At 38.7% G+C, this 22,816-nt stretch overlaps 1 protein-coding gene and 1 pseudogene across 3 annotated transcripts in view; one reads left to right on the top strand and one right to left on the bottom strand.

Annotated features, from left to right (window-relative positions):
* STIM2 (stromal interaction molecule 2) overlaps positions 1-22,816 on the top strand; it is a 164,541-nt gene that overhangs the window by 11,589 nt on the left and 130,136 nt on the right. The gene's annotated exons all lie outside the window — the stretch shown is intronic.
* On the bottom strand, positions 1,034-1,968 carry PIMREGP4 (PIMREG pseudogene 4; annotated as a pseudogene).

Genomic DNA, 22,816 nt, shown 5'->3' on the forward strand with positions numbered 1-22,816 from the left:
TAAAGGTTTACTATAAAAAATTTAGAACATACTGAAAAGTAAATATAGAAAATACATCTACTTCAACAGCTAAAAATAACAAAGATAACATCAAAATTTTGTTTTTTACAATCTTTTATAGATATGTATGCATATTGATATATTTAATAATAGGCTCATAGAGTGATTTTTTAAAAATGTGAAATTACTTAGTAAATATTTGAATGCCAAGTATATTACAAGCATATGATAAGTATTGGGGACACAAAGATGAATGAGATTGAGGTTTTTGTTCTCATGGAGCTTGCATTTCAGTTGGGAAGATAGAAAATACAAATACTATTTTGAGTTGTGAGAAATGCTATTGAGGAACAAGAGAGACATAAAATAGAAAATAATGTGGGGTACTTTTTAATTTAGGTAGGCTAGTTAGAGAAGGCTTCTGAGAAGGTCACATTTAAGGTGGCATCTTGAAGGACAATAAAGAGCCAAGTCTGAAGAATTGGGGAATAGCATTCCACATGGACAAAGACTGTGAGGCAAGAAAGAATTGGAATTATTTGAAGAAATGAAAGAGTATCATTTTGACCCAGCATCTTGAGGGAGGGGGAATGTTGGATGAGATCTGGCTATAGAAAAGGGAAGGGCTGGATGGTACAGAGCCTCATAGACCTTGTTACCTTGTTTGGGTTTAATTCAGAGGGTAACAGGCCGGGTGTGGTGGCTCACACCTGTAATCCCCACACTTTGGGAGGCCGAGGCGGGCGGATCACCTGAGGTCAGGAGTTGAAGCCCAGCCTGGCCAACATGGTGAAACCCCATCTCTACAAAAATACAACGATTAGCCAGGCATGATGGTGAGTGCCTGTAATCCCAGCTACTTGGGAGGCAGGAAAAACTCACTTGAACCCTGGAGGTGGAGGTTGCAGTGAGCTGAGATCGTGCCATTGCACTCCACTCCAGCCTGGGTGACAGAGTGAGACTCCGTCTTTAAAAAAAAAAAAAAAGTCCTTTCCATTCTCATCGCTACTGTGTTAGTTCTGAACTAAATCATTGTGGCTAGATGTGGCCAGAGCAGGGGGGCTCTGGGTCCCTTGTTATTTCCTTGTTAGCAGTAGCCCAGGGTAACTCTGACTACTTTGTCCAGGAAGCTCATGGGGAAGCACAGACATACTGGGTGTGAAGTTTTGGTGATCAGACAGGGCTTGTTTCCTGCAGGGCACTTCCTTAGTCATAAATGAGAGAGACGCTCATGTCACCACTCTCTTCTGCCATAATGGCTTCATCCAGCTCTTGGGACAGCTTCTGGAGATGCTGAATTTCTGCCTCCACAGGCTCTAGGTCACTGTCAGACTCACTGGGAGAGCAGAGGGGCTCTGTCAAGGGGTAAGGGGCTCTACAAGGCAGACTCCCGCCTCAACCGCCGTAGTGGGTGGGTACGTGAACCCATCCGGGCAGAGAGGCAGTGATGCTCCTTCTCCCAGGGGTCTGCGGCTGAGTGGACAGGGGCGCCTCCAGACAGCTGGGTGCTCTTCTGGCTCAGGCTGTGAGTCAGGGATCCACTGCTCTTCTGTGCCCCTCTCTTTCTCCTCCTGGCCTTCACCTGAGTCTCCACCAGCCACTTGGTGTCAGGACTCCTGGATTCTCTGGGACTTGGCACCTGAGGTACTCTTAGCTGAGCGAGCTGCAGCTTGGAGGCTCTGCTGCCCTGGCTCTGGGGTTTCCAAGTGTTTGCAGGAGGGGTCTCCCCAGAGATTGAGGTTGATGGCTGTCAGGGGCAGCCTCCTTTGGAACTGTCTGCACAGGGAACCCAGGGCTGCGGCAGGGGTCTCCTGGATGGCTGGCCACAGGCTGCAGCTCCTTGCTGTTCTTGAGCTGCTCCTGGTACTGGAGAGATCTCCGGCGCACAGAGGCCCCTACACCCTGCCGCTGAGAAGCCATCTGCCTGCCCAAGAGTCTTGTCTGACCACTAGGGCCCAGCACCCCCAACGTCTGCCCGACGCCAAGTACTGTAAAGTACTTTTAGGAAGAACTGTGGCACATCTTTATTGGTGACTGGTAACTTCTAGTGGACAAATGTTATAGGATCAGCTTTCAGTTCTTCATTTACATAAACCAAGCAGTTATTGTTAATATATTACTCATTTTGCTTAAGTATGAACTCTCCTCTTTTAATGGATAATTTCATATCTTTTCGAGTTTAGGGAAATAAAAGAATGGGATTATTTAAAAGGTTACAATTATATTTGATTTATAGTCTCACAGATTTTAAGAACATTAAAAAAGTGCTGGTTAATATGAAATTGGAAGTAGTAAAATCAGTAAGTATTAGGCATAGACTGTGAGGTTACATTGTGCCACTTAGTTGTGGAGGATATTTATTAAACAAATGTTTGAATGTCTGCTGTGTGCTAGACAGCAGACACTTTTTAGGTACCGGAGAAGTAGGAGAAAACTAAACTAATGAAGGTGCTGCTGTCATAATTTTACTTTTAATGCTGTGGTTATTTGTTGGGCAAATGTAGTTTTGCTACATGCAGTATGTGATCTTAGAATAAAATTGGCAGCTTCTTCGTATTATGATTGCTACGCGTTCCAGTACTCACTAGTTTGCAGATTCCTTTAATTGAAGCTGAATGGCATATTGGTTTTATTGATTAATCTTTTAACTCATAGTATCAGTTATACAATTCACAATGATAAATCTCTTTGAGTTTTATACAAAGCATATCCATATTCTTAACTTACTATCAAGTTTAACTTAGTGTAATCGACCTAAAATTAGAACTCAGATCTATTAACTCCTTGTTTTGTGTTATTTTTGCCATATGCTATATAGTATTTTTTATGAGATCTGTTCAAAAATCTTATAGAAATATGCACATATGCCGGTCCTCTGAATGTAACCAAACTTATATATGAATAATCTATGATGAGTTGTTTAAACGTGTTTATAAAATTATCTGGTAACTTTTATAGTGTACTAAAAATTTAGTTTTACGTTTTGAAGTCTTTAAGTTTGTTTTCAAGCAGGTAGCTGGTAGTCATGATAGATTCATCATAAGCCCTAAATATGTTAATAATTAGGATTATTTTTTCTTTATATTCTAGATTAGTAAAGGAGTAGGAAGCCTGTATGTGTCTCAGGCCTCTAATTTATCATATAACAACGTGAGAACACTCTGTAGGAATGAAAAGATAATAAGTCTTTGTATTTTGTCAGTCTTCAAGATTTCTAGACAAATGGGAGCTGTTTTTAGTTAAATACAAATTCCCAAGCAAGACATGACATATTTATAGACAATTCCTTTCTAATTATTATGGGGATGTTCTTGAAAAATCTTATACTAGCAGAATTTCAAATTGAAAAACAGACCTTTGGGAAAAATAGGCTTTAGAGATACTGTAGCCCCACAAAAGCCCTTACTAATATTTATATTCGCTAAAAGAAAGTACCATAGTAATCATTTGCGTGTTCTGAATTAGTAATTCAGAAAAGTTAGTTTCCATTTATCATCCTTTTATTATTAGGAAGAGTTCAGTGTTTCCTTCTGTAGCTTATGAGATGTTTGAAAAACCATTTTCGCTTGTAGTATATAGTATGTACACAAAGGAGCATATTAGTGGCTCAGTATCCAGTCCATGGAAAAGCTAGATGTCTTGTTTTTGTTACTTGGAATTGTTGATTCACATGTCTTGGGGGTCCACACAGTCTCAGACATGTTGACTGATTTGGATGAATCAAATGGAAAAGGTTTGGGGTAAACTTATTTAAGAAGTCTTTAATTTCTCCGCTACTATGGATGAAACCACTTCAGTAACAGGGTATTGGTAAAATTAGAATTCTTCCTGTAGAGCCTTTATATTAAGACATGAAGATGTTAGACAGTCTCTCCTGGCTCTGTTCCCACCACTTAGGTAGGTCTTTGGATCGTAGCACTTCCCACTTTTGAGTCACAGGAATACACTTTTAAGGTCAAGTGGACTTTACCTAGGTTTCCTTTAACTCAGGGTTGCATTTTAAAAGTCTTAAAACTCGCCCTGCCTTGCTTTACTCTTATCAATCTCTAGATCCCTTCTTTTTCCAGTTACTCTAACATAAAAAGTCTCACAATAGTGGAAATGAGAAACCATAAATAAATTTGTGGGTATTAGAATTTTCACAAAGTGGAATTATCATCTTAGAGGATTTATTAAATTTATATATAATAGTTTTTGTAACTCATAACCAAATGCCTTTATTTAATGTACTTGCTGAAAATTGACAGTTTTTTGGCCAAAGCAGTATAGTCAATGTCTTCATTGGTTTAGTGGCTTTTGGCAGAAAACTATAGTATGTGTTTAATTATTGGATTATACTTTACAGTTCAGGTTTTTTCTGTCTCTTACTGTCTTTTTTTCTGTTTTAGACTATTTGAGTTTATTTTCATGTGGAGATGGTAAATAGAATGTCATCTTTTTATAGGTGATAGAAAATATTTTTACATTATCTGTTACATATATACTTTCCAATAGTTATTTCAAGCTGTATTTTTTTGTATTAACCTTTTGCTTTGACTTGCCTGATTTAAGGTAACTATAACTTAACCAATTTTAAGAGGGCTTTCTGACCTCTTTGGATCTTGGTTGTCTTTTGTTAATTTTGGAAAATCTTGGCTATTATCTTTTCAGATAATTCTTTTTTCCTTTGCTTTCTCTATTCTCCCTTTGGGACACCAATTAAGTATATGTTAGACTGTTTGATAATGGTGTTCCTTTATGGTTTCTTTATTTTAAAAAACACACCTTCCCTTTTTTTTCTGTTTCAGTTTGGATGACTTCTGTTGACCTAAGTTCATGAAGAATCCTGTCAAAGGGATTCTCCATCTTTGATAAATTCTTATTTTTAATTTTAGCATTGCCATTTGACTCTCTTACAGTTTTCGTATCCCTGCTAAAATTTCCTGTCTGTTCTTATGTTGTCCAGATCCTTTAACATATTAATCTTTTCCTTTACCTTTTTTAACATATTTATGAATCATAGTTATTTTAACATCTCTGATTAGTTCCAACATCTGGGTAATCTCTGTTTGGTTCTGTTGTTTGCTTTATCTCTTGACGATGGGTTGTTTTTTTTTTTTTCCTTCTTTAAATGTGTCATACTTTTTGAATGATAGAAGAACCTGTGTCTAGAAATGCGTATACCTCCTCTGTCACACTGTTGGTATGGTAGGTTGAGTTAGTTTTGTCACTGCTTGGGCTGGTTATGGCTCTGTTGTTACTACCATCCCCTTCAGTGCACCACAGACCTAAATTTCTCTGGCGGCAAGTTGCTGTTATTTTGTGCTTTAGATGGACTGAGTGGTGTTCCTACTTGCTATGGTTTGAAAATTTGTCCTCTCCAAAACTCCTGTTGAAATTTAATTGCCTTTGTGAGAGTACTGAGAAATGGGACCATTAAGAGGTGCTTAGGCCATGAGAGCTCTACCCTCATAAGTGGGATTAATGTTGTTATAAAATATAGGGCAAGCATGGCTCCCTTTTGTGTCTCTCTCTTTGCCCATCTGCCATGTAGTGATGCAGCAAGAAGGCTGTCACTAGATGCTGGTGTCTTCATCTTGGACTTCCCAGCCTCCAGAACAGTGAGGAAATATAAATGGATTGCTGTGCCTTATAAATTACACTGTCTCAGATATTCTGTTATGGCTGCACAAAGGGACTAAGACACTGCTCTGTTGGCAGCTATCAGCAACATCCTGTTCTATAGTGGATTCTTTTTTATATGTGCTAGGTTTGTGATGGGGGTGGAGAAGTTCTTGGTTTTCCTGGTCTACCCTCAGTCTTAGGTAGGGCTCGTAAGCCTGAGTCTTGAGAGTAGAACCTTTTCGGTCGTCCCTTCTCCCCCTAATCTTTCCCCTCCCATGGCAGCCAAATTTTGCCTTGTGACTGAGGTAGTACTTGGGACAGAGAGTTTTCTGTCCTTCCCCTAGCAGTAGTATACTTCTGATTAGTTTTGGTATGGGATCATGGGTCAGGAGGGTCTCTGTGTCCTTGAAGCATAGTAGGCTTTTACTTCTATCTCTCCCCTAGGAGCAGTGGATCTTTGCCTGGGCCTTGTGGGTGGGAGAGGTAATTACCTGCTTCTCCTAGTCTGTAATTGTCTCTCAGACTCTGACTAATCCTGATTTTTGGTATATCTCTTTTTCTTTTCCTTCCAGGTTTTGTGTTCTGTTCTCTTATTTAGCCACTGACTTGTATTCCCCATCTGTATTAGTTCATTTTCACACTGCTATAAAGATACTACCTGAGACTGGGTAATTTATGAACAAAAGGGGTTTAACTGACTCACATTTCCACCTGGCTTGGGAGGTCTCAGGAAACTTACAATCATGGCAGAAGGCGAAGGGGAAGCAAGGCACATCTTACATGGTGGCAGGAGAGAGAGAGCAAGAGCAAGGAAGTGCCACACTTAAAACTATCGGCTCTCATGAGAACTCCCTCACTATCATGAGAACAGCATGGGGGAAACTACCCCTGTGGGCCAGTCACCTCCCATCAGGATCCTCCCCCCACACATGAGGATTACAGTTGGGGGTCAGATTTGGGTGGGGACACAGAGCCAAACCTTATCACCATCTAACTTTTGACGTTATTTTAATATTTTCTTGCTGCTTTGTCTCCCCTGTCGTGTGCTCTTTTTGTATTGCATTCAGATTGACTCATCAGCCTGTAAGTAGGCCAGTAAACTTTTCAATTACTTTTGTGACTCAGAAACTTACCTATAATTCTAGTTAATCTACTTGACTATGTAGTTACTTAATTATGTAATCGACATGACAGCATAGATCTTCCATTTTTGTATAGTTTGTACCAAAAATCTCTAACGAGGATTTCATGGTTTCACTTAGTTGATTTCACAATCTAATGGTTGTGAAACTGTTAATCTTTTTTTTTTTTACCTGCCTGTGGTGAAGAATGCATAGTTTTGTAGAAGGATTATGGGATTGAGTCAGGTGACCTGGGATATTATACCATTTCTTTTATCTGCTTGTCTATTCAATTACAAAACATTTATTGAATACCTTTTTTATTCTGGGTGGTGAGATATTATTACTATGAATTCTGATAGCTTTACACAGTCATTGTGTTAAGTTTTTCATAGGTTCACATTTAATTCTCCCAACAACTCTATGAGAGCAGTAGGTATTATATGTAGTAATTATTTGAGGAAACCGAAGGACTATGTAAGTATCATGCCCATTATCTCATAGATAGTAAAGAGAAGCAAGCCTTCCACAAACATTAGTAATATTCCATCTCATGGATACTTCATAATATATGTAACTATTCCTTGTCATTAGAAACACACTTTAAGTTTTAGCTTTGTAAGTAATGATTCAGCCAGAGTCCTAAGAGGTATACTTGATTGTTCTGGGCCCTCATCGCCCACATTCTGACCTCCTGCCAGTAAATACTATGGGTTCTAGCCACCACATTATGTCTTGAGTTTCTCTGCTTTTTTCTATTTTCATTGCCATCACTCTGGTCTGGGCTACCATTCCCTCTTACTGGGATTCCTGCAGTACCTTCCTAACTTCTTGTTATCATTCTTTACCTTCTGCAGTCTAATCTCAGAAGTACACATAAGATAATTTTCTCCCCCCGCTTTAGAGGCTTATGTAATTATGATAGAATAGAAACCTTTTATGCTGGCCTGCAAATTGCTGCATGATCTGGCCCCTGTCTACCTTTGTAGCTTCATCTGTTTTTACCATTTCCATCTACCCAGCTTCCTTTCTGCTGCTGGAGTATGTGAAACTCTTTCTCTGTTTCTGGGCCCTGGCGCTTGAGGTTTCCCACATCTTGATTGTTCCTTCTCATCTTTTTGCATGTCTGGATGCAGTATATTTTTGGTTTTGTATTTTTTCAGGACTTTTTTTGGTGACTTCCTATAGGAGCAGGCTCTGTCTTTGCTGTCCCTGATAAACATACACGGTATTTTGTTAATTTCCTTTATAATACTTACAACCAGAAATTACATTTTAATATGCTTATTAACTTGTTATCTGTACTTATCCACAGAAATATAAGCTGTAAAAGGATTGGGCCCTTGTACTCATGTAGTATCTAGATAGTACACAGTGTCTCATAGGTAACTACATAAAACTTTTTGGATGAATGCCTTGGTTCATACCTTTTGTGCATAAACCTTCATATATATAAATATATATGTAAATATATATATAAATATATATGTAAATATATATATAAATATATATGTAAATATATATGTAAATATATATATATGTATATATATATCTAATTTTCTTTTTCCCGAGGATAGACAGCCAAATTAGAATTAAGCTAGAGGAAATATTTAATGCATTTTAAACCAGATACGGTAACTTAAAATGTTTTAGAAGTGATTTTTTTCAAAGATCTTAGAATTCTTAAAATTGGTACTTTGTTATTTTTATTTTATTCTTCTCTTGTATACATAGGTTCTCTTATTTTGAACTTGGAAAATATATGCAAGTGTAGACAAGAGAATAAAACAAATTTTACTCTTCAGAAAGAACCATTTTGGTATTGTTCTTTTCTATATGTATATGTAGTATTATTTTATGTAGTTGTGCTATGTTCTGAATATATGTGTCTCCTCAAAATTTATATGTTGAAACCTAAACCTCAAGGTGATGGTGGTACTAAGAGTTATAGCGTTTGGGAAGTGACTAGGTCATAAGGACAAAACCCTTATGAATGGGATTAGTGCCCTTATAAAAGAGGCCAGACGGGGGCTGGGCGCGGTAGCTCATGCTGGTAATCGCAGTTCTTTGGGAGGCCTAGGCAGGTGGATCATCTGAGGTCAGGAGTTTGAGACCAGCCTGGCCAATATGGTGACACCCCGTCTTTACTAAAAATACAAAAATTAGCCCGGTGTGGTGGTGCATGTCTGTAGTCCCAGCTACTTGGGAGGCTGAGGCAGAATAATGGCTTGAACTCTGGAGGCAGAGGTTGCAGTGAGCTGAGATTGCACTGCTGCACTCTAGCCTGGGCAACACAGTGAGACTCCATCTCAAAAAAAAAAAAAAAGCCACTTTTGCCTTTCCCTTCTGTCATGTAAGGATATAGCAACAAGGTGCCACCTGTAAAGCAAGAGAGCCCTCACCAGACACTGAATCTGCTGGTGCCTTTATCTTGGACTTCCCAGCCTTTAGACCTGTAAGCAAAAAAATTTCTGTTCTTTCTAAATTACCCAGTATAAAGTATTTTGTTATAGCAACCTGAGTGGACTAAGACAAGTTGCAATCCTTTTAGATGGAATTTTGCATCTTTTAAAAATCCAACGTATCCTGAGCTTTTTCTTAACTATTGAATGGAAGATATAAATTATTTCCTCATTGTTGGGTAGATTCTCATTGTTGGATAGTTTTCAGTTTTTCTTTAAAAAATATTGTTGTAGACATTTATTTGCCTAAATCTTTTCTCCACTGTGGATTTTAAGGGCAGCTTCCTAGAAGCATACTATTAAGTTAAAAGATATGTATATTTTACGGTTTAAAAAATATCTATTTGTATGTATTTACTGACAGATTGCTTTCTGGAAGGATTGTGTTTTTGAGTGCCCAATAGTGTTTTTATTGAAACAGAATCTTTGGTATTTTCAGTGAAATGTCATGTTTTTATTTCTTTGATTATTTAGAGTATGATTGGTTTCCCTTTTCTGTGTTGTTAAATACACTGTCCCTTGTAACTGGGGGTTGAGATTGCTCCAGCAAAAGATGTGTTAAACTAATGAGAAGATGAAGACTGATTCTTTTCTGACATTCTCTTATGGTGATTCTTGTAAAAATGTGCTATCATGAAAAGGGTTGAGCTTTCTATTAATAATAAGTTAATTGTGGTTTCATTTTTTCCAGTTTTGTAAAGTTTCAGTTGTTGCTAATTTTTTTTCCCCCAATTGTAATTCTACTCCTGATCTTAGCCAAAAGGCCAAGAAGCAATGCCCCCTTGTAATTCTGGTTTTATCTAGAAACCTAGTTTCTTAAATTTCTTTCTTTCTTTCTTTTTTTTTGTTTTTGTTTTTTGAGACAGGGTCTGGCTCTGTCACTCAGGCTGGAGTGCAGTGGTGCCATTGTAGCTCACTGCAACCTCTGCCTCCCAGGCTCAAGTGATCCTCCTGCCTCAGTCTCCCTAGTAGCTGGAGGTGAATTCAGGCATGTGCCACCATACCCAGCTAATTTTTGTATTTTTTGTAGGGACAGGATCTCCCTATATTGCCCAGGTTGGTCTTGAACTCCCAGGCTCAAGCAGTCCTTCTGCCTTGACCTCCCAAAGTGCTGGTATTACATGAGCCACGGTACCTGGCCCATTAGTCTCTTCTTATGGCTTCAACTACTATATGTAAATCCAGGTGCTATCTGTGTGTCTTTTCTTGTTTCCTTTTCTTTCTTTTTTTTTTTTTATTGAGATGGAATCTCCCTCTGTCACCCAGGCTGGAGTGCAGTGGCGCGATCTCAGCTCACTGCAACCTCCGCTGCCTGGGTTCAAGTGATTCTCATGCCTCAGCCTCCCGAGTAGCTGGGACTACAGGCATGCGCCACCATACCTGGCTAATTTTTTTTTTTTTTTTGTATTTTTAGTAGAGACGGGGTTTCACCATATTGGCCAGGCTTGTCTCGAACTCCTGACCTCCGGTGATCCGCCCACCTTGGCCTCCCAAAGTGCTGGGATTACAGGCATGAGCCACTGTACCCGGCCTTGTGTGTCTTTTCTGCCATGGGGACTGATGATCAGAGAAGCCTGCCCTGAAGCATGAGAAAGAGGGGAGGGTTGGGAGGGAAACAGTGTGTGAAATAGAGGAATAAACTAGGCTTTATAAATAAACTTGCATGTAAATGGTATATTATTTGCTAACTCAGAATCTCTTTGCCTCAATTTCTCCTTGGGTTAAAAATAAAGAGATAATCACTATCTTTCAAGGTCATGGTAAGGATTAAATTGGAAACATATGTATGCACATATATACCTGTCTTATATTGTATATAATTTGGTGTTCAGTGAATTAGGTATTTTTTTCCCTTGGAAAACAGAGGGATTGGCACAATGTCTTGGAATTACTGTATTATAGAAACACAGGAATGAGGTATATTAGTATATGCTGGGACATTGCCTGAGGTGCCGAAAGTGTATAATAAGTTACATTATGGTGGGCAAAGCAGTTTAACAGATCCATTCTTTGTAACACAGCTGCAGTAAAAATAGAATTGTATAATTAAAATAAGATATGAAAAGACTCTTTGAAGGTTAATTTAAAAATGAAAATTTACTGCTGTGTTTATTAATCTCTTTGAAGGAGACTTAATGCTGTATCAAATGTTCCTTTTGTAATTGACAGAAACAAAGCACCATGTACAGTGTTAGAGTGTGTAGCTGTGCTGAGTGAGCCATGTAAATCTGCAAGGTTATGTATTTTGGTATGATGGTGATAGCTTATTTTCATATTATATAGCCATGAAATTGATCCTCAGCATTTATCTTAGTCTTTGAAAAGTTACTGTGAACAGTAGTATTATCAGATTGTTACCTGATTAATACGTCACAAATGGATGAGCCTCTCAGCAAACCAAGGAAGTTATCTCAAATGGGACTGAAATAATGGTATTAGATACCTGAGTTCCTTATATTTCTCTGGAAAAGAAGGTGCTCACTGTAGAACTCACCCAAATGCAAGTTGGGCTTGAGAGTTACAGGCAATCATCTGTATAACGAACCAGTTCCTGCAAACAGTCCTGAGCCCCTTCGATGTGGGAGACTGTGTGTGCCTGGTTAGGAAGGTGAAAAAAATGAAATAACATGTGTTCTCCAGTAAAAGAGACTTAGGCCATTTTAGTCAGGGTGAACAACATACCCACTTAATAGGGTTGTTGTGAGCAATAAAGATCAGTATAGGAAAATGTTTAGTACAGTGTTTGCCACATAATAACTCTTAGAAAGCATTAGCTGTTACTGTATTTTAAAATCCTACAGTTTCCTTCTATGATGATGCTCTGCTCGAAATGGTTATTTAATTCTTAAACCTGTTTGTAATAAAGGTTTAGAAAAGAACCAGAATAGGGCTGGAGTGTGACTTACTGCTTCTACTGCAACTGCTTTAGGAAATTTAAATATAAAGAAAACTAACAGGAAATTGTGTCGTTGTATAGGCAGGGTAATGTACAAGCTATTTTAAGAAGGGGCTCTTTGCATTTCAGTGTTCATCTGTCAGTTGGCTGTAGTAGAAACACCCTGTTTATTTAGCACCATTGGGGGATTAAGTATCCCACATGAGTGAACAGCCATTTATTGAGTACTTACGTATATCAGGCAACTGTTCTGAATGCTTCACATGAAATAACTCATTTAGTCCTCACAAGCTTATGGGGTAGATCCGTATCTTATAGGTAATGTAACGGAGACCCAGAGAGGTTAAACACGAGTTCACAGAACTGGCAAGTGGGTGAGACAGAATTCTCACAACAAGATTCACATCCTTAACCAGTACTCTTGCCTCTTGAGTAATTGAACCTTGACTCCTTTGAATTATAAAACTTGCTTTATTTCAAACATTTTGGAGTCAAATTATTTCTAAAACGTGTGACTTATTTCTCTACTTTCTTAATCAGAATGTATTGGGTACAGTTAATGGGTACAATATTAGGGTTAGTACACATGCAAAAACACAGATACTCTTAAGGATTGTTGATTTGTGTTCCACTGTTCATGTTCAACCTTATTTTTCATGGTTTTGAATTGCTGTAATATCTAGTTTTCCAAAAGCTTTTTACTTAAATACAGTATAACAGTACAGGAAAGGGCTCAAATCATCAGTATACAGCTCATTTCAACCATTTTTAACAAAGTGAATACTCACATGTTATTAGCACCCAGATCGAGAAACATAATGTTGCCTTTACCCAGAAGTCCTTCATGTCCTCTTGAAATCAGTATGTGCCTTTGCCTAAGGTTAACCACTGTCCTTACTTTAATACCATAGATTTGCTTCCCTATTTTTGAATGTGAATAAATGGAGTCATCAGCATATGATTGTATCAGCTTATTTACTGGACAGCTGTCATTTTATTTTTTGGTATCTGCTAAGACTGGAAAATAGGGGTATCAAGGCTTGAATTGTAAATCTTGATGGTATGAAGGATCCTCCTTTAACTAAAGCATGTAGGATTTTAATGTGTGATATTTGTGACATAGTTTTCATTTCTGACTATTTTTTCAGGTTTATGTTTTGCCTGGGTGAATTCAGAATGTAACTTTCAGATATACAAATTGTTTACCTTGGTTACCAGGCTATGTAGTTTATAAGAGCAGTAAAACTGAAAATATAGCATTCAGTGCTAGTTGTATTATGAGAATGAAGCCAAATTTAGCACCTCAGGTTATATATATATATATATATATATATATATATATATATATATATATATATATATGTATATGTCTATTCATGTAAATATGCAGTGTTGATTTATCCTAATTACTGAGACATTCCATTATGGCTTATTGAAAATTACATATAAACCTTATTTTAAATCTGATTTTTAGATACTTGAGTTTTAAGAAGCTGATCACCATGCGCCAGTTCCTCTTATTTGACAAACAAGGAAGTTGTGGCTATGTGAGCTCATAATTTGAGGTTCAGTGGAACAGAGGAGAACTGTGACGGGCAGAACATTTACTTTCATATTCTCTGTAAAACCAAATCAGTGAGAAGGATGCAAGGAGAACTAGGACAGTATATGAACTTTTTCCTTCTTAAAGCTTTTTCTGTGTAGGAGCATATTCATATAACTGAGAAGATTGTTTGAAATTTTAGCTTAAGGCTAATATATTATTTCAATATATACTCATTGAACACTTACAGATATTGTTGTAGGTATTGGAGCAATGAAGAAAACGATGAGCTTAATTTCACTGAGGATAAGACAGTTAACAAGTAGACAAATATTTATCAGGAGATGATAAATGCAATGAAGGAAAATAAAATAGGTGAGAAGGTAGAGAATGTTAGGGAAAGTATATGTGTGTTTGCTGTTATTTAAGGTGGTCAGGGAAATCTTCATAGTTGACATTTGACAAGAGAGAAGGGAGAGACAGAGGGATGAGACCCTTCAGGTGGAGAGAATGGCATGTGCATGGGCCCTGATGGATACCATTGTTGGATTTTTGGAGAAACTTCCAGGAGACCACAGGGCTGGTGTAGAGTAAGCAATGGAGAGAGTAATAGATAGATCAGAGAGGTTGTCTGGGCTAGAATGTACAGTCTTGTAGACATCATCTACAAGATGTGAGGACATTGTCATTGTATGTCATGTACTCTGAGATGGGGAGCTACTGCAGGGTTTTTGAGAAGTGTGACATGATTTGATTTATGTTTGGAAATGATCACTTCAGCTCTTTCACTGAAATGACACTCTAGAAGGTCTAGTCTTAGAGCAGGGAGACCAATTAGTAGGCTTTTGTCCGGGGAGAGAAAGTGCTAGAGCTCCCTTGTTAGCTATGGAGGTGGTAATAGGTGGTATAGGTGGAGCTATATGTGGATGCTAAATACAGTGAAAGCCCTTCTGTTCTGTTGTCCTGAAAATCAAGTTCATTGTTATATGAACTTTATTGTGAAGTAAAGACATAAAAGCTTATGCCTTTATAGGATATAATTTAAAGAGCTAGGAAATTGGAACAACCCGTAGTGTTCAACTGCTGAATGTTACAAGATACAATAAGCACCAAACCAAATAATTAAACTTTTTTTTTTTTTTTTTTTTTTTTGCCTCTTGCCTTGTCCGTGATCCCTTTAAAACTTAGAATTTATTTGAGCTTTTTTTCTTTACTGTTTTGTTTGATGTTGCTTTCATTTTCTACTTGGGTTAAGATGTATCTTGCTAATAATCTAAGATCACACCGTGCTGTTACAGAATTACAGACTTTGATTGAACTCAAGGAAGTGGACAAAGCCTAAAGCTCAAACTGTCTGCTAATTACAGGAACTTCTCCGGTGTATCCCTTATAGACTGTCATTCATTAGCTCCTCAGATACTTTGGGTGGTTGGGAACTTATTGCTCCTGAACAACTTTTCCATTAGTAGGCAGTTCTGGTTTGTGAGAAGTTCTTTGTTGCATTAAACTAAAATCTTTCAGTACTTTCTTTGGGTTCTAGATGTATCCTTTGAAGCAAAGAGTGGCTATTTTTTCTCTTAATGTTTTAAAAGACCCTGTATTAGGGTTCTGTACAGAAATAGAACCAGAAGGAATGAATGTATATGTTCATTATTACAAATTAATAATATAATTTTATATAGTGCATATCTGTAATTATATTACCAATTATTTAGTTGCACTTAAAATACTCAAAGATGTAACTTAAAATAATTAATTGTTTTATACATGTATCTACATATCTACATAGATAGACATAGGTAAAACATAGAGACTTATTTCAAGGAATTGGCTGAGGTAATTGAAAAGATCCAAATCCAAATCCAAAATCCATAGGATAGGCTGGCAGATTGGAAACTCTTGGGCAGGCGATGATGCTGCAGTCGTGGGGCAGAATATTTCTTTCTCAGAAAAGGCTTTCCTGCTGATTGGATCAGGCCCACCCACATTTCCAAGAATAATTTCCTTTGCTTAAAGTCAACTGATTGTAGATGTTAACTGTGTTTACAAAATACCATCACAGTAGCACCCAGGTTAGTGTTTGATTGAATAACTGGATACTATAGTTTAGACAAGTTGATACATAAAACTGTCATAGTCCATCCTTGTCAACTTGGCGCCCATACACATCTTCTTAAATGATACTTAATCTCCAAATGAACGCAATAACAAAGTCATACTTCTGCCTAACATAATATGAATATCCTTCAAACAACTGAAAACATGCCAACCCTTTCCCCAGAAGAGGATGCGGAGTCCCTGGGTAATGTTCATTCTCCCTAATAAGCTATAACTTAAATATCATGATGTAAAGTTAGCTATTATTAATATATCTTATGTCAGATGATAAAGGGATTAAAGAGCAAGAAAACAAAGATATTTGCTAAATATTTGAATACATTCGTTACAAAATAAGACATAACAGTTACAGTTTTCTGTGGCTGGTCACATGGTCGTAGCTGGTTTTTGTTTATGATTACCTTCTTGCACTATCCATTCCATTTTTCCCTTTCCCTTAGCAAGCACCTTAGCTCTTTGTGGTTCTTTGCCTGTTGGGGTGATCCAAAACTTTGTTCCTGAAGGGTCTGGGCATACCCAATTTAAGTAGTCCTTAAATTGGGTTATTGTAGTTTTCCATTGACTTTAATCACAGAGCATGGCAGTAATTACAAGATCTCTTGTATTCCGGACTTAGTCTTTTAATCACAGAGCGTGAAAGTAATTACAAGATCTCTCGTATTCTGGACTTAGTCTTTCATACCTCCATTGTATGGTAGCAGTTGAATTTCTTCTTAGTAACCAGCAACCCTGGTCAGTACACTAACCCTGGGTCTTCTTTGCCTGTTCATTCTGAGGCATGAGGAGTTCAAAGTGGCCAGGTGGTAGTCTTAATGTCGGTTCAGTGGAATCATTCTATCTCCCAGTGGAAACAGTCCTCTTTTTGGAAATAAGGCCTCTAGACCAGCAGAGGATAAGGTTAAAGAATAGGCAACAAAAATTTCGCTAGTGAAACAATAGGGATAATAGTGAGTGGCCCCACTCTTATTTCTCTCTCTGGATTCTGGGATCCATGAATCCTGGCCATGGGAGAAATAGCACCATACATTGGATGCTGATTTAGAGCATACATAGCCTCATGGAAAACATTGCACAAGTTTTTGTCACCTTGCTGACAACGTAACTGAGTCTTCAAAAATCCATTCTACCATTCTATTAAGCCAGCTGCTTCAGGATGATGAGGAACATGGTAAGACCAGTGAATTTTATTAGTATGGGTCCACTGTTACACTTCATGTGCTGTAAAGTGTGTTCCTTGATCAGAAGCAATGCTGTGTGAAGCACCTAGATGGTGGATAAGGCATTCTGTGGGTTTGGCAGAATGCTTGCATGCAGGGAAGAGAAATCCATATCTAGAGTATCTGTTGTAATAAGAACAAAACAGTGCCCCATTCATGATGGCAGTGGTCCAATATAATCAGCCTTTCATGAGATAGTTGGCTGATCACTCTGGGGAACGGTGCCATATCAGGGACTCATTATTGGTTTCTGTAACTGGCAGATTGGGCCTCATTAGCACCTGTAGCCAGGTCGGCCTTGGTACATAGAAGTTCATGTTGCTGAGCCACCTTCCTCCTTCCTATGGCCTCTTCGTTCATGACAGAAGTGGCTAGGGAAAAAAGCTGGCTGGGATCTGCAGAATGAGTTATTCTATCTACTTGATTATTAAAATCCTGCTCTGCTGAGGTCACCTTTTGGTCAGCATTCACGTGGGACACAGATTCCTTCACATTTTTTGCCCAAAGAGGTCTATCTACATTATTTCTCCAGATCCTCTTGTTACCATTTTCCCAATTATGTCCTTCCAATTCTGTGACCATCTAGCTAAACAGTAGGCCACATCCTATGAATTGGTGTACACGGTGGCACCTCTGGCCATTTCTTCTTCCAAGCAAAATGAGAGCCAAGTGTGCTGCCCAAAGTTCTGTCCACAGGAGAGTTTTCCTTCATTACTATCCCTGTCCCAGAAAGGCAGTTAGTGCTACAGCCATCTGCTTTGTGATGGTTTGTGCATATTGTCCACAGTCATCTGTAAACTAGGCCCACTTTTTTTTCTTCGGTCAACTGATAGTAGGAAACTTCCCCTGAGGTCATAGGTGTGGGCTGGGAGAGAGAAGGGAATGTGGTAGGAATGGGGACCGTGGGCATTTGTACAACTTCTTCATATAACTTACTTGAACCTTCAGGGCCTGCTTGATCTTGATCTGTCATATTCCATTTTCATTCAGTGATGGAGTACTGCCATGCATGCCCCACTTTATGAATCGTGGGGCCAGATAGCACCCAGTTCATAATGGGCAGCTCAGGTCTCATGGCAACTCCTTGGCACATTGTTCAGCATTTAGTCTCTAATAAGGCCCCGTAGCAAGCCAAAATCTGTTTCTCAAAAGGAGAGTACTCGGTGGCTCACGCCTGTAATCCCAGCACTTTGGGAGGCCGAGGCGGGTGGATCACGAGGTCAGGAGATCGAGACCATCCCAGCTAAAACGTTGAAACCCCGTCTCTACTAAAAATACAAAAAATTAGCCGGGCGTAGTGGCGGGCGCCTGTAGTCCCAGCTACTTGGGAGGCTGAGGCAGGAGAATGGCGTGAACCCGGGAGGCGGAGCTTGCAGTGAGCCGAGATCCCGCCACTGCACTCCAGCCTGGGCGACAGAGCGAGACTCCGTCTCAAAAAAAAAAAAAAAAAAAAGGAGAGTACTTTTCCAGAGAGGATGGCAGAGCTTTGCTCTAAGATCCTAAGGGTCTTCACTCTGATTAACCTATATGAGCCTGTCAGTAGAGGCTTCACACAGAAGCTCTATCTGCCTCTGAAACTTGAAGCACTATTGGATCTACTGGATCACATGTCCCAAGTGGCACAGCAGCTTACAATGGCAGCCTAGTCTGTTGCAAAGCCTTTTCTTGTTCTGGGCCACATTCAGAACTAATAGCTTTATAGTTCAGTTTGTGTGATGGATAATTTTTTGTGTGTGTCAACTTGGCTGGTCTGTGGTGTCCAGTTGTTTGGTCAAACACTAGTCTAGATGTTGCATGAAAGTAATTTGTAGATATGATTAGTATCTGTAAGTAGTTATGCTGAGAGATTGCCCTTGATGATATGAGTGGGCCTTATCCAATCAGTTGAAGGCCTTAGGAGCAGAAACTGAGGTTTCCTGAAAAAGAAGTATTTCTGCCTTAAGACTGTAACCTAGACATTTTGCTTGAGTTTCTAGCTTGCTAGCTTGCTCTTGTGACAGAATTTGGACTCAAGTAAAACATAAACTCTTGCCTGCACTACAGATTTCAGACTTGTCAGCCTGTATAATCTTGTGAACTAGTTCCTTAAAATAAATCTCTATATTTATACACATATATGTGTGTTTGTGCATGTATATATACATATAAAGATATGTGTATACATACATACACACACACACACACACACACACACACACACACACACACCCCCTTTTGGTTATTGGTTCTGTTTTTCTAGAAAACCCTGACTGATACACTCAGTAAATGGGCTAGAGTAGCACACCCAAATAAGGAATATGTTGCCTTCCAAATACAAAGAGGCCTACTAGACATTCTGTCTGTCTTGATTTTAGGAGGGACTAGCTAAAACAACTTTTACTTCACATTAGAAGGGATATGTCAACATGTACCACATCACTAGACCCTTAGAAATTTCACCGAGGTGGAAGGCTCCTTGTCTGTTCAGGTGATGTGGGTTGGCTCTGTGTCTCTACCCAAGTCTCATCTTGCGGCTCCCATAATTCCTATGTGTTGTGCGAGGGACCCAGTGGGAGATGATTGAATCTTGGGTGTGGGTCTTTCCCATGCTGTTCTCATGATAGTGAATGGGTCTTGTGAGATCTGATGGTTTTAAAATGGGAGTTTCTCTGCACAAGCTCTGTCTGCCGCTATCTGTGTAAGATGTGACTTGCTCCTCCTTACCTTCTGCCATAATTGTGAGGCCTCCCCAGCCATGCAGAACTGTAAGTCCAGTAAACCTCTTTCTTTTGTAAATTGCCCAGTCTTGGGTATATCTTTATCAGCAGCGTGAAAATGAACGAATACATCAGGCTTTAAGAAATTACCAAAGACTGCGTGGCTTAAACATCAAACATTTATTTCTCACAGCTCTGGAGGCTGAGAAATCCAAGATCAAGGTGCTGGCAGATCCAGTGTCTAGTGAGGGCACTCTTCTGTTTTGCGGCCATCTTTTTGTATCTTCATGTGGTGGACAGCAGAGAGAGCGAGTGAGCTCCTGTTTCATAAGAGCACTAATCCTATTCAAGACGGCGCCACCCTCATGACTGACAGACCTCCCAAAGGTCTCAATTCCTATTATTACTTTGGGAGTTAGGATTTTAACATATGAATTTTTTTGGGGGGGGACGCATATATTCAGTCCATGACACCCCTGGATTTTTGTCTTACTCATTTCTTACCTTCTGACATGCATATGTTTTACCAATAAGCTTAGAGTAATTGCAGTTTCTTGCTCACTAGGTCCAATTAGCATAAGGTCATGAATATAATGGGTTGTTGTGGTGTCTTGTGGAAGGGAAAGTTGATCAAGGTCTCTGGATTAAATTATGACGTAGGGCTGGAAAGTTGATATAACCCTGAGGTAAGAGTGAAAGTGTATTGCCTTTCAATCTTGCTAGCTAAAAACAAACTACTTCTGGCAGTTTTTATTAACACACGTTGAGGAAAAAAAGCATTTTTCAGATCCATATTTGCAAACCAGTTACCAGGGTATGTGTTAGTTTGCTCAAGCAGTGAAACCACATCTGGTACAGCAATTAGAATTGGAGTTACCTAGTTAAGTTTATAATAATGCACTGTCATTCTCCAAAATTCATCTGTTTTCTGCATGAGGTAAACAGGTAAGTTGAATGGGGATGTGTTAGAATCACTACCCCTGCATCCTTCAGGTCCTTGATAGTGGCACTAATGTATGCAGTTTTAGAGTGAAACATATTTGGAGTGACATATAAAATACACAGAAGAACATTAAATGTTTATGTAGTCTAATGAATAATAAAGGGAACCATTAAACCACCTTCAGGTCATGAAATAGAACTTCATCAACACCCCTAGAAGTTCCCCCTCCCCATAGTCCCTCTTCTTAATCACAACCTCTCCTACTGCCAGAGTTGTCATTATTTCTGTCATGATACTTTCCTTTCTTTTTACTTTTTACAATTTGTGTATGTTTACCTAGATAATATTATTTAGTTTTGTCTTTTTTGGACTGTATATTAATAAAATCATTGTATGTGCTTTTTGCCTGTCTTGCTTTTGCTCAAAAAAGTGTGAGATTTGTCCATTTTGTTCTGTGTAGCTGCATTCATTCATTTTTATTGCTGTATTCCAATTTTGAATACACTGTAGTTTATCCACTTTTCTTATGAAGCTTTTGTTTCTAGTTTTGACCTTTTATGAACAGTACTTCTGTGACTATTTCTTTATTGCACATTTTTTGAGTGAGTTTTTCAAGGGTGTGTAACCAAGGAGGTTGCTGGGTTAGGTGATATCAGCTTTCCTTAGTAATGCCAAATTATTTGCCAAAGCGGATGTATCAGTTTACTTTCCCAGTGTCACGAACATTGGTATTAAACATTCATTTTTTTTTTGAAGTTGAGCATCATTTCATATTACTAGTTATCTAGATTTCCTCTTTTGGAGATTGTCTATTTAAGTCTTCTGTTCATTTTTTTATTGAGTTGGAGTGTTTTTTTCTTACAGATAATTATTTTTTGAGACAGAGTCTTGTTGTGTCGCCCAGGCTAGAGTGCAGTGGCGTGATCTCAGCTCACTGCAACCTCTGCCTCCCGGGTTCAAGCGATTCTCCTTCCTCAGCTTCCCAAGTAGCTGGGATTACAGGTGCCCGCCACTGCGCCAGGCTAATTTTTATATTTTCAGTAAAAATGGGGTTTCACCATCTTGGCCAGACTGGGCTGGAACTCCTGACTTCGTGATCCACCCGCCTCGGCCTCCCAAAGTGCTGGGATTACAGGCGTGAGCCACTGCACCTGGCCTAATTCTTTATATTTCTGTTATATTTGATCACAATTGCAATATCTCTTCCGAATTTTTGCCTTGTCTTTTTATATACTTATGTGTGTATATATATATATGGTGTATTAATAAACAGAAGTTCTTAATGAGAGTACTGCCAAATTAACTGGATTTTCCCTTTATAGTTAAAGCTTTTTGTGTCTTACTGAAGTAATCCTTTTCTATTCTGTCTTTTATTGTCTTTAGTTTAACTTAGTTTGTATTTCAAATTCAGGTTTTTATTCACTGAGAATTGATTTTGTGTTTTTTGAGAATCAGGTCTGATTTCCATTTTTTTCCTTCCGTGTGGATGTTCAGCCAATTGCAGCACCATTTTTTTTTTTTTAACAAGTTTGAATTTTCCCCACTAATCTGTGGTGCTAGTTGTGTCGTATAGCAAGTGTCTGTATGTGTGTGAGTCTGTTCTGGGCTCTTTATTTTTTCACTGATCTATTTTTCTGTTGCTTTGACAATACTCACAGTGTTTTTAAGTCACTGTCATCTTATATGTCTTAATATTTGGTATAGCAAGTTTTATTTGTTCTTTTTCAAGACTGGGCTATTCTTTGCCCTTTGCATATTCATATAAACTTTGCAATTAGCTTGTGAAGCTGCATGGAAAAAAACCTATTGGAACTGCACTGGTTCTATTAAATTGATTTGGAGGCAGTTGACATACTTATAACATTCAGTCATCCAGTCTAAAAATTTGATAATTATTTCTGGCCGGGTGCGGTGGCTCACATCTGTAATGCCAGCACTTTGGAAGGCCAAGGTGGGTGGATCACCTGAGGCCAGGAATTTGAGACCAGCCTGGCCAACATGGTGAAACTTCGTCTCTACTAAAAATACAAAAATTAGCTGGGCATGATGGCGCACGCCTGAAATCTCAGCTATCCAGGAGGGTGAGTTAGGAGAATTGCTTGAACTTGGGAGGCAGAGGTTGCAGTGAGCTGAGATTGCGCCACTGCACTCCAGCCTAGGCGACAGAGTGAGACTGTCTCCAAAATAAATTAATAAATACATAAATAAGTATTTGA

The sequence above is a fragment of the Homo sapiens genome, chromosome 4 (assembly GCF_000001405.40).
Source record: "Homo sapiens chromosome 4, GRCh38.p14 Primary Assembly".
Taxonomy (NCBI): Eukaryota; Metazoa; Chordata; class Mammalia; order Primates; family Hominidae; genus Homo; species Homo sapiens.